Genomic DNA, 15,370 nt, shown 5'->3' with positions numbered 1-15,370 from the left:
ATTCAAAAATTTATCAGAGAAATTTAACAAAGAGATTAAAATAATTTTTTAAAATCAAACAAAAATCTTGGAACTGAGAAATATACTTGTCAAACTGAAAAATTTATTAGAGACTCTCGACAGCAGAATGGATCAGACAGTGGAAGGAATTAGTAAACTCAGACAGGCTATTTGAAAATACAGTTAGAGGAGAAAAAAGGGAAACGAATACAAAGGAATGAAGATCACCTAAATAATATAGAAAAGTACCTCAAAAGGACAAATCTAAGAATGATTGGTGCTCAAGAGGGAATTCAGAAAGAGCAAAAATTAGAAAGCTTATCCAAAGAAATAACTCAAAACTTTCCAAACTTAAGAAATATATAAGTATCTAGGTACAAGATTAGAGAACATGAAACAGATTCAACCCAAATAAGACCACCCCAAGACATACAATAATCAAATTCTCAAAGGTCAAGGACAAAGAGGATTACAAAAGTTGGCTGGGCACCATGGCTCATGCCTATAATCCCAGCACTTTGGGAGGCCAAGGCAGGTGGATCACCTGAGGTCAGGAGTTCGAGATCAGCCTGGCCAACATGGTGAAACCCTGTCTCCACTAAAAATACAGTAATTAGTGGGGCATGGTAGTGGGTGCCTGTAATCCTAGCTACTCAGGAGGCTGAGGCAGGAGAATCGCTTGAACCCGGGAGGCAGAGGTTGCAGTGAGCAGAGATAGCACCATTGCACTCCAGCCTGGGTGACAAGAGTAAAACTCAGTCTCAAAAAAAATAAAATAAAATAAAAAATAAAAGCAGCAAGAGAAAAGAAGTAAATAACATACAAAGAGCTCCAATTATTCTGGCAACAGACTCCTCAATGGAAACTATACAGGCCAGGTAGATGTGGGATGGCATTTTCAAAGTGCTAAAAGAAATAAAACCGCCATCCAAGATTAATGTACCAGAAAAGCTATTCTTCAAACATGAAGAAGACATAAAATCTTTCCTTGACAAACAAAAGCTGAGAATTCACTACCACCAGGCCTATCTTAAAATAAATGGCAAATGAAGTCCTTCAATCTAAGAGAAAAAGATGCTAACATGCATAAAGAAAATATTTGAGGAAAAAAACCACTGGTAACATTAAGTACAAGACATACCCAGGATACTCTAATACTCTAATTGTGGTGTGCAATCCATTTATAACTGTAGTATGAAATCTAAAAGACAAACCTATCAAAAACAATAATTGCTACAGTGACCTGCTAAGAGATAGACAATATAAAAATATGTAAACCGAGACAACAAAAAGTCAAGATGTAGGGGTATAGAGTTAAAGGGCAGGGTTTTGTGGGGGTTATTTAAGTTTTTTTGTTTGTTTCTAGTCTTTTCTTTGTGATCAAAGTTAAGTTGTCATCTTTGTAAAATATCAGCTGCGCGCCATGGCTCATGCCTGTAATCCCAGCACTTTGGGAGGCCAAGGCTAGCTAATCACTTGAGCTCAGGAGTTCAAAACCACTCTGGGCAACATGGCAAAACCTCATCTCTACAAAAAATACAAAACTTAGCTGGCTATGGTGGCATGTGTCTATGGTATCAGCTACTCAGGAGACTGAGGTAGGAGGATTGCCTGAGTTCAATAAGGTAGAGGCTGCAGTAAGCCAAGATCTCACCACTGCACTCCAGCCTGGGTGACAGAGACCCTGTATCAGAATAATAAGTAATAATAAAACAAAGTAGCTATAAGATATGTTTTGTAAGCCTCATGGTAACCCCAATGCAAAAATCTGTAATTAATACACTAAAAATAGAAGGCAGTGAATTAAAGCATTCTACCAGAGAAAATAACTTAACCACAAAGAAATACAGTAGCAAAAGAATAAAGGAAGAAAGACGTTACAAAACAACCAGAAAACAAGCAACAAAATGGCAGTCATAAGTCCTTACTTATCAATAATAACACTGAATATAAATGGACCAAATTCTCCAATTAAAAGATGTATAGAAGTTAAATGGGTAAAGAGACGAGACCCAACTATGTGGTGCTACAAGAACCCACCTTGCCTATAGGGACATACATAAGTTGAAAGTGAATTTATGGAAAAAGATATTCCATGCAAGTGGAAATCAAAGAGAACAGGATTAGGTATACTTATATCAGATAAAACAGACTACAAGTCAAGGAATGTAAAAAGTGACAAAAGGTCACTATATAATGATGAAGGGGTCAATTCATCAAGAGGATATTAAAAATTATAAATATCTGTGCACCCAACACCAGAGCATCCAAATATGTAAAACAAACATTAATAAATCTCAAGGGAGAGATAGGCTCCAATATAATAATAGTAGGGACTTCAACACCTCACTTTCAGTAACAGATTATCCAGGGAGAAAATCAATAAAGAAACATTGGAATTAAGCTACACACTAGACCAAGTAGGCCTGACATTTATAGAACATTTCACCCAGCTGCTACAGAGTACACATTCTTTTCACTTGCACATGGCACATTCTCCAGAACAGACCATATCTTAAGTCACAAAAGAAGTCTCAGCAAATTCAAAAAAGTAAAAATTATATCAAGTATCTTTTCTGATCACAATGGAATAAAACCAGAAATCAACAAGAGGAACCTTGGAAACTATACAAACACATGGAAATCAACATGCTCCTACAACCAATGGGTCAATGAATAAGCTAAGAAAATTTTAAAAATTTCATGAAACTAGTGAAAATAGATATACAACATACCGAAGCCTACAGAATACAGCATAACAATAACTTTATAGCAATAAACACCTACATCAAAAAAGGGAAAAGACTTCAAATAATCAACCTAAAAATGGATCTCAAGGAACTCAAAAAAGCAAGGATGAACCAAATCCAAAATTAGTAGAAAGAAATAAATATCAGAACAGACATAAATGAAATTGAAACTAAAACATAAATACATTTGATCAATGAAATGAAAAGTTGATTTTTTGAAGATAGACAAAATTAACAAACCTTTCCCTAGACTAAAAAAGAGAAACCCAAATAAATCAATCAGAAAGAAAAAAAAAGAGATATAACAGACCACAAAAATACAAAGAATCAGAGAATATGAACAACTATACACCAACAAATTGGAAAACATAGAAAAAATGGATAAATTATTAAACATATACAACGTACTAAGATTGAACCATGAATAGAAACCCTAACAAACCAATAATGAGTAATGAAATTGAAGCCTTAATAAAGTCTCTCATCAAAGAAAAGCCCAGGACATTATGGCCTCACTGCTGAATTCTAGCAAATATTTAGAGAACTGATACCAATTCTACTCAAACTCTTTTAAAAAAAATTGAAGAGGAGGGTATTCCTCTAAACTCATTCTACAAGGCCAGCATTGCCCTGATGTGAAAACCAGACAAGGATACAGCAAAATCTGTGTCAGAAATCAAATCAAAAACAAAACTACAGGCCAAAATCCCTGATGAACATAGATACAAAAATTCTCAAAATAACTAGCAACCCCAATTCAACAACCAAGAAGATCGCTCATGATGAGTGTGATTCATGAATACTGCATGTTCTCACTCCTATGTGGGAGCTAAAACAGAAGATCTCATGAAGCTAGGGAGTACAATGGTGGTTATCAGGGCCTGGAAAGAGGAGGGAAGACGTGGGATAAAGAGAGGTTGGTTAAACGGTATAAGTATACAATTAGGTAGAAGAAAGACAACCAGAGTTCAATAGATCAGTAGGGTGACTATAATCTATTAGACACTTCTGGCTGGGCGCGGTGGCTCACGCCTGTAATCCCAGCACTTTGGGAGGCAGAGGTGGCCGATCACGAGGTCAGGAGTTCAAGACCAGCCTGACCAACATGGTGAAACCCCGCCTCTACTAAAAATATAAAAATTGGCCCGGTGTGATGGCGTATGCCTGTAATCCCAGCTACTTGGGAGGCTGAGGCAGGAGAATCGCTTGAACCCAGGAGGCAGCGGTTGCAGTGAGTCGAGATCACGCCATTGCACTCCAGCCTGGGTGACAGTGCTAGACTCTGTCTCAAAATAATGTTAGACATTTCAAAATATCTAAAAGATTGCTTGATATATATTTAGATATAACTAGAAAAAAATTTGAACGTTCCAAGCAAAAAGGACATTTAAGTTTATACATATATATACACACACACACAAATTATCCTTATCTTTGACCTTTATACGTTATGTATCAAAATATTACATGTACCCTCAAAATACATACATTAAAAAAATGAGAAATAGAAAAATCAAAAAAAAAAGTTCCATGAATTCTGAACACAAATGTGGCCCCCCATTGCTTGTTATTTGTCTGTTCATCATCCCCCACTTGCAGTATTAAAATGTCAGTGTTTCCATTTAGGGATCCCCTTCTGCCTGAATAATCCCCAAATCTGATTCAAAAAATTAGTTCTTACCAGTTTGCACACTCAAGAAAGCACCTGAGCCCAAGTCCACTACGGCCATTTTGTCACTGCCACAAGGTGGCGCTATTGAAAAATGGTCCACATTACTAGCACTCACCGTCCCCATTGTAATGAGAACAAACTTCGGATCTCTGCACAAGCCACAGTGGTCCTTCTAAGGAGGTAGACAGACCTCTCACCCTGCACCCACTTCTTCATGGCAGTTGCATCTCAGTGAGCCTTGAGTTCGTTCATGAGTGGCTGATCTTTGTTTTCACGTCTTAAGTCTGAAAGCACCCATCTCCATCAGAGAGCCTGCCGCTCAGTAACTCCGGCCGAATTTGTTCGGGTGTGAGGTTTAAGGCCCTAATCGCTGTTCTCTCTTCCTCTTTGGGCAACCCCATCTCCGAAGCGTCAGTTTTTCTTTCACCTATCCGCAACATAAAGTGTTACTAATGACACTCCTCGCCCAGAAGACGGCGCTCCGGGCCTGCACACGCTGGTGCCTCCGGCGAGCCTGGACCCCAGGGCCACTTAGAGCCTTGGCGTTCGTTTTAGCTCTTAACGGCGACCAAGACGTCTTCCTCCTCTGCGACAGTGTGGGGAAGGGAGAACGAGAATAACCCACGTTTGGCCAGGAAAAGCTCCCCCTCTATGTAACTTGTAAGGAACCTCCCAGCAAGCAAGTGGCGTGTGCCCGGGTCTCCGTTCCCCGAGACGCGGGATCCCGGGCGGGAGGGCTAGTCTATCCCATTTGCCTCCACTCCTCTCGGAATACGTTGGAGTCTTCCTTTCTGGTGTCTCCGACTTCGCAGTAACTTAGAGGTGTCTCTGATGAGAATGCAGCCCTGGGTGTGGCTCTGACCACCTCAAGCACCATCCCGACCCTTCCTTGTACGTCTTCCCGCAACCTCCTGCGGAAAAGCAATGTGTCAGAAATTTGTGAGTTCTTGGCATGATTCTAGAATGAAGCTGCAGACCCTCAGGGTGTTAGTTCTAAAAAACGTGTCTGGAGTTTGTTCCTTCTGATAGTCAGACGTGTTTGGAGTTTGTTCCTTTTGGTGGGTTCGTCGACTAGCTAGCTTCAGAAGTGAAACCGCAGACCTCTACAATGAGTGTTACAGCTCTTAAGGCGGCATATCTGGAACTGTTTGTTTTTCCAGGTGGGTTCGTGGCCTCGCTGACCTCAAGAGTGAAACTACAGGCCCTCACAGTGTTACACCTCACAAAACAAAATGCAGATCCAAGCAGCTAATAGTAAAAAATAAAACCACCACAATGTGAAACAGGACAAAACAAATTACAATGGCCAACTCCGGTAACCTGCTTTTATTCCCTTATCTGGCCCCACCCACATCCTGCTGATTGGTCCATTTTACAGAGAGCCGATTGGTCCGTTTTGACAGGGTGCTGATTGGTGTGTTTACAATCCCTGAGCTAGACACAAAAGTTCTCGAAGTCCCCACTAGATTAGCTAGACACAGAGCACTGATTGGTGCATTTACAAACCTTGAGCTAGGCACAGAGTGCTGATTGGTGTATTTACAAACCTTGAGCTAGACACAGAGTGCTGACTGGTGTATTTACAATCCCTTAGATAGACATAAAGGTTCTCCAAGTCCCCACCAGATTAGCTAGACACAGAGTGCTGATTGGTTTGTTTACAAACCTTGAGCTAGACACAGAGTGCTGATTGCTGTATTTACAATCCCTTAGCTAGACATAAAGGTTCTCCAAGTCCCCACCAGTTTAGCTAGATACAGAGTGCTAATTGGTATATTTACAATCCCTTAGCTAGACATAAAGGTTCTCCAAGTCGCCACTAGACTCAGGAGTCCAGCTGGCTTCACCTGGTGGATCCTGCACCCGGGCCGCAGGCGGAGCTGCCCGCCAGTCCCGCGCGCCGTGCGCCCGCACTTCTCAGCCCTTGGGCGGTGGATGGGACGGGAAGCCGTGAAGCAGGGGGCGGCAATCGTCGGGGAGGCTCCGGCGGCGCAGGAGCCCACCGCGAATTCTCGGGCATGGCAGGTTGCAGGTCCCAAGCCCTGCCCCGCGAGGAGGCGGCTGAAGCACGCGAGCGCGGCGCGGGTGGGCCGGCAGCGGTAGGGGACCCAGCGCCCCCTCCGTAGCTGCTGGCCCGGGTGCTAAACCCCTCACTGCCCGGAGCGGTGGCGCCGGCCGGCCGCTCCGAGTGTGGGGCCCCCGGAACCCGCGCCCACCCGGAACTCGCACTGGCCCGCAAGAGAGTTCCCGCCTCTTCCTCCACACCTCCCCGCAAACAGGGAGCCGGCCTCGCCAGCCCAGAGAGGGGTTCCCACAGTGCAGCGGCAAGCTGAAGGGCTCCTCGAGCGCGGCCAGAGTGGGCGCCGAGGCCGAGGAGGCGCGGAGAGCGAGCGAGGCCTGGCACCACGCTGTCACCTCTCGGCAAGGCGAGATTCCGCGCGGAGGAAAGAGGCGCGCTGTCCGGGGACGGGAGGCTGGCGGCAACCGCTACAGGGTCGTAACAAAACAAGTCCCTAGGGGAACTGAGTGGAATTGCGTCCTTTAGCTCTCCAGAGCTCTCTAAGCTCCTTGAAGGGCCAGAGGCTGAGCCCACCTTGGGACATAATTAGTAAGCCTGACTCAGTGACATGGCCCTGCCAAAAGAAAATATTCCCTGAAGGAACAACCTTCTCTCGCATTCTGGTGCCTAAGGAGGTGCAGCTTGAATGTGAGACTGAATTAGGACAGAACTGAAGGCCCCTTGAGCCACACTGGTATTGAGAGGGTATAAGGGACTGCAGGAAAAAGGGATGTCAGAGAGAAAGAATCCCATTTACAAAAGCGTTACCATGTAGGCAGGGTTTAGCTTTGGGTAATGAATGACTCAGTTCTGTGGCTGGAAAAATACACAAAGAGGATTATTAGAAAAGTTTCTGATTATTTGGTTCATCAAAAGGACATTTCTGCCTACTTCCTAGTTATAGTATGAGTTTATGAAATTTGGGATCATAGAAGAAAGTAAAAATTCTATTAGAGAACAGACACAAGGGCTGACAGTTCTTTGTGACACCTCAGAAACTGTTATTCCAAAATCCTATTTGCAATCAGTTGGGTTACAGCCTCCTGAGATTCACCCTCCTGATTCTGGCCCTGAGCTAGGTTTGTCCAGAGATTAATAAGTTTGTGATCTTTCTGTCCTTCAGCCTTGGTTTAACTGGAATAATAAGTGAGATGAGGAAATGACTAATAGAGCTCATCTTGAGTGTATGTTTTTTTAAAAAACCCATTCTTCCAGTGGGCTGGAAGGGGTAGTGGGAAACATTCAACAACATCTGCCCACACCAGGCCTGCCTCAACTTAATCCTTTCTCAGCTACTCTTCCCAGGTAGAGCCATCATTAATCTGATTGGTCATGTTCTAGGACATCAACAAGGTCTTGATATCTGGTGGAAAGTTTAAGACTTTGTCTTGCTTTTCCTCTCCTCTGGGCCCAAAGAGCATGAGACAGCTAAACTTGGATCTTCTCTGTAGACCCAGCCATGTTGCTTCCTGCTTTTTCTCAACTTATTTCCTCCATGTAGCTGGCCAGCAGTTGACACAAGCCTAAGACTTAGGACAAAGTTAAAGGCACCACTGGAGGTTAAATCTAGGCTACATGCTCCAACAGAGATCTGAACTTCTGCAAGAGATTTGAACTTCTCCATGGGTGATTATTTGATTATCTGAGCACTCACTTAGCTCTTTATAAATTAGTAGTTCCATTTAGTTTAACAAAGTTTTTGAGATCATGGGCTCAGGAACTAGATGACTTGGTTTCAAATCCTACCACCTACCTGCTATGTGACTTTTTCTGTCTCATATTCCTCATCTCTAAGATAGAAATAGTAATTTCTGAGTCATAAATTTGCTGCAAGGATGTGGTACAATGGGCCTTGCAATAAATTCTACAACATCACATAGTATGAACGAAGGAATGGGAATAAGATTTACTGGGGAAACTTAGAAAGCAAGAGTCAGGCACAAGAGGCATAGAGTTCTCAATCCTCTCATAATCCCATGGAGAGGTGAACCAGGGGCAAGAACAAGCCATTTCACATGCAATAGGTTGGGGCTCTGGTCCTGACCCAATTATTCTATCTTGTCAAGGATAAACTTGAACACCACTTTTCAGTAAGACAACAAGCAGACTACTTGATTGCCGGGCAGTCTGGGTTTAGATGCTAGCAGAGCTGAGGAAGCATCTGAGGACCAGATGCCCAACACCTGGAGACCATGCATCCTATGGACAGTTGCAGCCCCTTCGTGTTAGAAAGTGTAAGCAGCTGGTCTCATGCAAAGCTATACGTAGGTGCAGCCCCTCTTTCCAAGAGGAACGGGAAACTCCAGTTGTAGCTAGCACATTTCCTGGGCAATCTAGAGTGAGATCCCAGGATCATTTCTGAATAGTTCTGCTTATTGCCCCATAGAATATTAAGTAAAATGTAGCACACAATATCTTTAGTACAGTATTAATAAGTACTCAATAAATATTAGCTATTATAGTTAGTCCCATTTGGCTATCGCTCCTTTTGTTCAACTTCCTTAGGAACATGATATGAGTAGAGTGTCAGAAGTGATTGACAGGGATAAACTTAGTCATTTCTGGGTTCTTTAGCAAAAATAATAATCTAAAACCACCTCAAACCTCACCCTAACTCTTTTAACAGAGACTTATAATCACATCAACATCTACATTAGCCCACAGCTTTAAAACTCATGTGTATCTTTGTTTCCAAACCGCTTTCTAACTGGTCTCCCCAATTCCAGTTTCTCTACTATCTAGTTTGAATTTCACGGTTGTCAGTGTTTTCTTCCTGAAATATATTATCATATAATTAAAAAGTTTTGCTAATTATTATGTTGGCAAAGCTGGGGAAAAACAGGCTGCCATTTCTGTGTAATATAGAATAAGGTAGGACCAGTAGATCCCATGATCATGTGCCCTTTGTAACACATCCTTCACAGTAAAGTGAGTCCCTTGGTCTGAGATGTAAGGCAAGGTTCCATGTCAGTACATCAGACATTGTGAGTCCTTGGGTAGTATTAGCAGGGGCATTGGAGACAGGGAAGCAAAATTATACCTGGAATACATACAAATCCCTATAAGGATGAGTCTCTGCCCACTGCAAGGTATTAATAGAAAGGGTTCAAAGTGATCAATCTGCCACCAAATGGCTGCTTAATCTTCTCAAGAGATCATACCATGTTGAGGGTTCAATGACAGTGCTAACTGTCCTTTTCTGTCTAATAAAATGAAAAGGATCCCAATCCTTACAGAACATAAAAAGAAAATATATGTGTTAGGCCGGGGTTTCCCACCCTCAACTTACCAGCTGTGACACTGTTGGCAAGTTTATTATCTTCTCCAGGCCTATCTAAAAATTGGGATAATGATAATACTTACCCCATTGGATTGTTTGAGAATTAAATGAGTTAGCACACATAAAGCATTTAAAACGACACCTGACCCAGAATAAGCGCGCTCTATTCAAATGTTTGCCAAATATATTTTTTAATGTTTAATATTAAAGGATGGCTTAAAGGAGGAGAGCAAATGGACGAGAGAAAAACAGCCGAGAAGAGGTTAAAAATAAGATGCCTCTGCTGGCGGGACCCTCCCTACCCACCTCCCCGCCCCGCCCCGCCCCAGAGTTCCCGCAAAGGGGCTTCCCCGCTCGGACTCGACGCCGCCACGCAGACCTGCCCCGCGGCCTCAGCTTCCCGGCTGTGTGGCCCAAGTATAGCCCGAAGCCCTCCGTCCCCTTTCTCCCCAGGCGAGGTCGAAGGAACCACGACCCCATTCGCGGCTAGGAAACAAGAAACCGAACGCTTTTCCATTCCGCAGTCTCCATGGTAACGCGTGCTTCGCTTTTCTAGCACCCGCGGAAGACTCTTCTCTTTGGTCCAGCCCTGCAGACACCGGGAAGCTGTGCTGTCTGAATCAGCTTGGCCAGTGTTGCACTGTTACCATTTGGGAGGAACAGATTAGCTTGAATATGAAATTTATCCTCTTCAGTATACAAAGAGAAAAACAAAGAAAATGAAAGCACGAGTCAATTAGAATTACTTGAATATAAGCTCCACGGGGCAGAGATCTTTAACCGTTTTGTACATTCATGTTATTCCAAGCTCTTAGTACAGTTGCTTTTAGAAATATTTGTTGAAGAATGAATTGAAATGAGTCTGAACAAAATGGACGCAAAGCAGCTTTGACTGATCTATCACCATTTGACTGTTCTCAGTAGCTTTATTTTAAAAAGAACCATAAGTCACATACATTTAAATGTGCTATAACTTTTAGGATCATGAGGGCCAACAAGCATACGTTATAAGTAATGTATTCTGTATTTTCAAGAATATATTTCCAATATATGGTATTTTTCTATAATATATTTTTATCATGTTATGTTTCAATATAATGATTATGAGCAGAACCTTGAACAGAAAATTGTTCCATCTATGTAAGTAATAAGGTTAAACACAAAAGATATATTTAAAAGTTTGGGGAAGTAATAAATACTTTTTTTACTAGATTTTATCTTTTAGAGCAGTTTTAGGTTCACAGCAAAATTGAGCTGAAAGTACAGAGATGTCCCATACTCCTTGCTCCACACATGTGTAGCTCTCTCACTCTCAGCATCCCCAACCGGAGGGGTGAACCTACATTGACAATCACCTGGAGTCCGGACAAATGTATAGTGGCATGTATCCACCATTACATAATCATACGTAGTATTTTCACTGCCCTAAAAATACCCTTTGTGCTCGGCCTGGTCATCCTTCTCCACTTCCAACCCCTGACAACCACTGAACTTTTTTTTCTTTGGTTAAGATGCTACATATATGATCTTTTTACTGTCTCCATAGTTTTGCCTTTTCCAGAATGTCATATAGTTGAAATCATACAGAATGTAACCTTTTCAAATTGGCTTCTTTCACTTAATAATATGCATTTAAGTTTCCTCTATGTACCATAGTAAATACTTTTTAGATTGTTCTTTCCCATATTAGAATATAAACTTTCTACCAAAAATTATGGGAAATTACCCTTTTAGAAGGGAAAATTCCAAGAAAACAATTATTTCAAAAAGATTGCCAATATTTTTTAAATGAAATATCAAAGACAAAAAAAATACTTGCTAGCAAGTTCTGAGTTGAACTGAAAAACAATCAGGTTAATTAAAAAGATTATTGGAAGGAAAATGGGAAGACCTGTCTATGGCAGTTAAAATGGATGAGCTAGAGCCACATTTTTCATGAAGGATAAATCTCAAAACTACATGTAAAGTTGAGTACAAATTACATAGTAACCCCTATAATGTATTCTTGCCAAAAATATTGAACCAAAATGAAATCAAGTATTTAGAGCTCAAAGGATATGTACAAACTGAAACTATTTGTATAAAATTTGTAAAACATGTAAATTATACTATATAATATTTGTGGCTACCCACGTATGTACTAAAAATATGTGAACATGCATGGGAATAATAACATCAAAATCAAGATAGTAGTTAACCTGGGAAGGAAGGGGGAAGGAATTGGTGAGGAGTAGACATGGTGATTTAATTGTGTATATAATCTTTTATGTCTTAAGCTAGATGTTGAGTGTTCTTTATATTACTCTTTAGTATGCCTGAAATATTTGCTATTTTTTTCAAAAGCCCCAGGAAATGAATTTTGTAATTTTGACAGATGGCAGAAGGGCCATAAAATTACTTAACATTATCAGGCTTTCATATCTCCATCAAGTGTCGTGACCTTCAAGTTGAGAATGATAGGACAAACATTTACATAAGGAAGGTAGTTAAACAGTAACTACAAGTTTTCATGCCCAGCTTAAAGCATACTAAAGTTCAGGAGGATTGGCCACAGGACCCCTGAAGCCCATTTTTGAGTAGTGCAACAAATGCCCAAGTCTGACAAATATCCAAATTTTCAAAAAGTAAGAAGGTGAACTGTGGAATTAACAGGGTGAAAAATTTGACATGGATCCCTGGTAAAATTCCAGTATTAATTATTTTAGGAGATGTTTTATGAGCGATTGTGGTTAGCCTAGAGGAAATAATGTAAATAAATGTCTCTTAATCCAACTAGATTATTAAAGTATATGCTAACAGTCTACTGTGGAAGTATCTTTATAACAGCAAAGGGTATAGCAGTCTTTCATGAATGTATTGCACAAAAATATGTGAACTGGACATTATTACTATTAAGTAGATTAATATTGGGAAGAAAGACTGTACCCAGTCAGCCTGGAAGGTAGATGACCACGCATAGCATCTCTCCTGTAGCTCCTTGCACAGTGCCTTTGCACAGTATTCACTAAAGTCCTTTACAAAATTATAGACTTAGTATCCTTAGGGATCATTCTACTTAAAATGCCAATTTCCATTAGATGAGAATAAAATTTTATAAAATTGGGGGATTGAAGAAATTATTTTTGTATAATGATTTTTATTCAGCAAGCAATATGGCCAGGCATTTTCATATACAATATATGTATATTAACCCTCTCACAATGAATTTGTGCATAAGGGATTTGTTTTCACTATTTTACAGATGCAGCAATTAAGACACAGAGAAATTAAGTAACTTGCTCACAGTATCATAGCTAACAAGTTGCAGAATCAGGAACAAGATCTTCTCAATATAAAGTTTCTGCACTTCCCATAATACCACTTTATTGCTACTGTGCCAAGTATTTTCTTACCTCCTTTGTCTTTGAATAAATAGAAGACCCGACTGGGCTGGAAAGGCTGCATTTATATCCAAAGTAGTCTAGGTATGAGATCCAAGAGTCTGAAATCATTAGATTCTCTTCTAATTTTATCCTCTTTTGTACAAACAAGTTTTTAATCTCTTGGGCCTCAATTTTCTCAAGTATAAAATGAAGAAAGTATACCTCATTACCATTATAGTATCTTCCAGGTTTGCAGTTATTCTCATCATGAAATTTGATGCCAGGCAATGTGTTAAGTGATTTCCACGTATTAACTAATTTATCCTTATAACGGCTCTGAAATTTAGGTATTTACACTGGACCCATTTTGCAGATAGACAAACTAGGGTGGGTCTAAGGTATGATACACACACATTGTGAGTGGGGTAGCCAGGATTTAATCTCATAATTAAGCAAATTTTATTTCATTTTGATACATTTTTAAAACAGCTAACCATGACTATTCACAAAGGTATGCAATCCTTGCCCCCACTGAAAGCACCAGAACACCTTGGAAAAATGGCTGATTCCAGGTCTGAGGCAGGAAATGTATGACATGTGTCTGAAACATTTATCTTGCCATAAAGGAAAAAAGCAAAGACGCTTAGAGTTGGATGAAAAGGACACAGGAGATAAAATAAAGGGACTCCCACTGACCAAAGATGAAATAATTTGAACATTAAAAAGAATAACTACTGCAATTGATTGAGACTCATTGAATGTATTTTTTTAAATCCATGTGTTCATATTGATATGCAAAAAGAGAAAACAAAATTTTGCATTAGTTATCAACTGATGCAGAACACTTGATGTTGTGCACAAAAAGAGAAAACAAAATTTTGCATTAGTTGCACAAAAAGATTTTACATTAGTGCACATTAGATGCACAAAAAGAGAAAACAAAATTTTGCATTAGTTATAAAACTTAGAACCAAACATCTGTTGCAGTTTCCTCCCTCAAAGCCATTCCCCAGCTTCTGAAGACCAGAAATCTGGGAGCAGCTTGGCTGGTGGTCCTGCGTATGTCATAAGGTTGCACCCAAGACATCAACCAGGGCTGCAGTCATCTGAAAGCTTGACTAAGGTAGAAAGATCCACTTCCAAACTCACTCATGTGTCTGCTGGCAGGAGGCTTCAGTTCCTCACCACCTGGGCCTCTCCTTACAACATGGCATTTGGCTTTCCCAAGGGTGTGTGATCTACGAAAGAAAAACAGACCAAAACAGAAGCCGTAGATTATTTTATAACCTAATATTAGAGATAATGTAGCATCGGCCAGGTGCGGTGGCTCATGGCTGTAATCCCAGCACTTTGGGAGGCCAAGGTGGGCAGATCACTTGAGGCCAGGAGTTTAAGACCAGTCAGCCAACATGGCGAAACTCTATCTCTACTAAAATATAAAAATTAGCTGGGCATGCTGATGCATGCCTATAGTCCCAGCTACTTGGGAAACCGAGGCAGGAGACTCACTTGAACCCGGGAGGTGGCGATTTCAGTGAGCCAAGATCGCGCCACTGCACTCCAGCCTGGGCAACAGAGCAAGACTCTGTCTCAAAAAACAAAACAAACAAACAAACAAACAAACAAAACATAGCATCACTTTTACCAGATCATTCAGTCACACAAACCAACCCTGGTACAATGTGGAAGGGGGCTACACAAGGATGTGAATGCTGGACAGTAGGGCCCAGCTAGCCATTTTATAGGATGGCTATCACATTTTGTAAGGTGGTTACCATTGATGGCACCTAAGGCACAACTGCTTTTTCTGAAAATTGGCAATTATGTTGAAAATTAAACAGTCTTTCTTTCCTGTACAAACTACATTTCAGGATAACCAAATAGCCCTAAATTGCTAAATTGATGAAGGAAAGTTTTTCTTTATAGAGGAGTTCTAACTAATAAATGTGAAAAAATTATTGAATTAGAAAAATTACAATTTTACAAACTCTAATGAAATGGGGTGGCTGAATCTATCAGATTAAAAGCCAGTGGGAAAGTTTACATGGAAGGATTCAGCTATCAAGTATTAAACCCACTGGTCAATCTTAGCATCAAAAACATTATATGCTTCCTGATGTGTGGCAAAAAGTACATAGCACCACCTAAGGATTCTTACTAACAAAGTTAAACCTAACTCTAATCAAACCTTTAGAGGTAACATCAAGTTTTACAGGAAATATGAGGCTAGAGAAACTAATAAAATGG

The sequence above is a fragment of the Homo sapiens genome, chromosome 6 (assembly GCF_000001405.40).
Source record: "Homo sapiens chromosome 6, GRCh38.p14 Primary Assembly".
In the NCBI taxonomy this organism is placed as follows: Eukaryota; Metazoa; Chordata; class Mammalia; order Primates; family Hominidae; genus Homo; species Homo sapiens.
The sequence above is the reverse complement of the archived record's forward strand: the minus strand, read 5'-3'. Positions refer to the sequence as shown.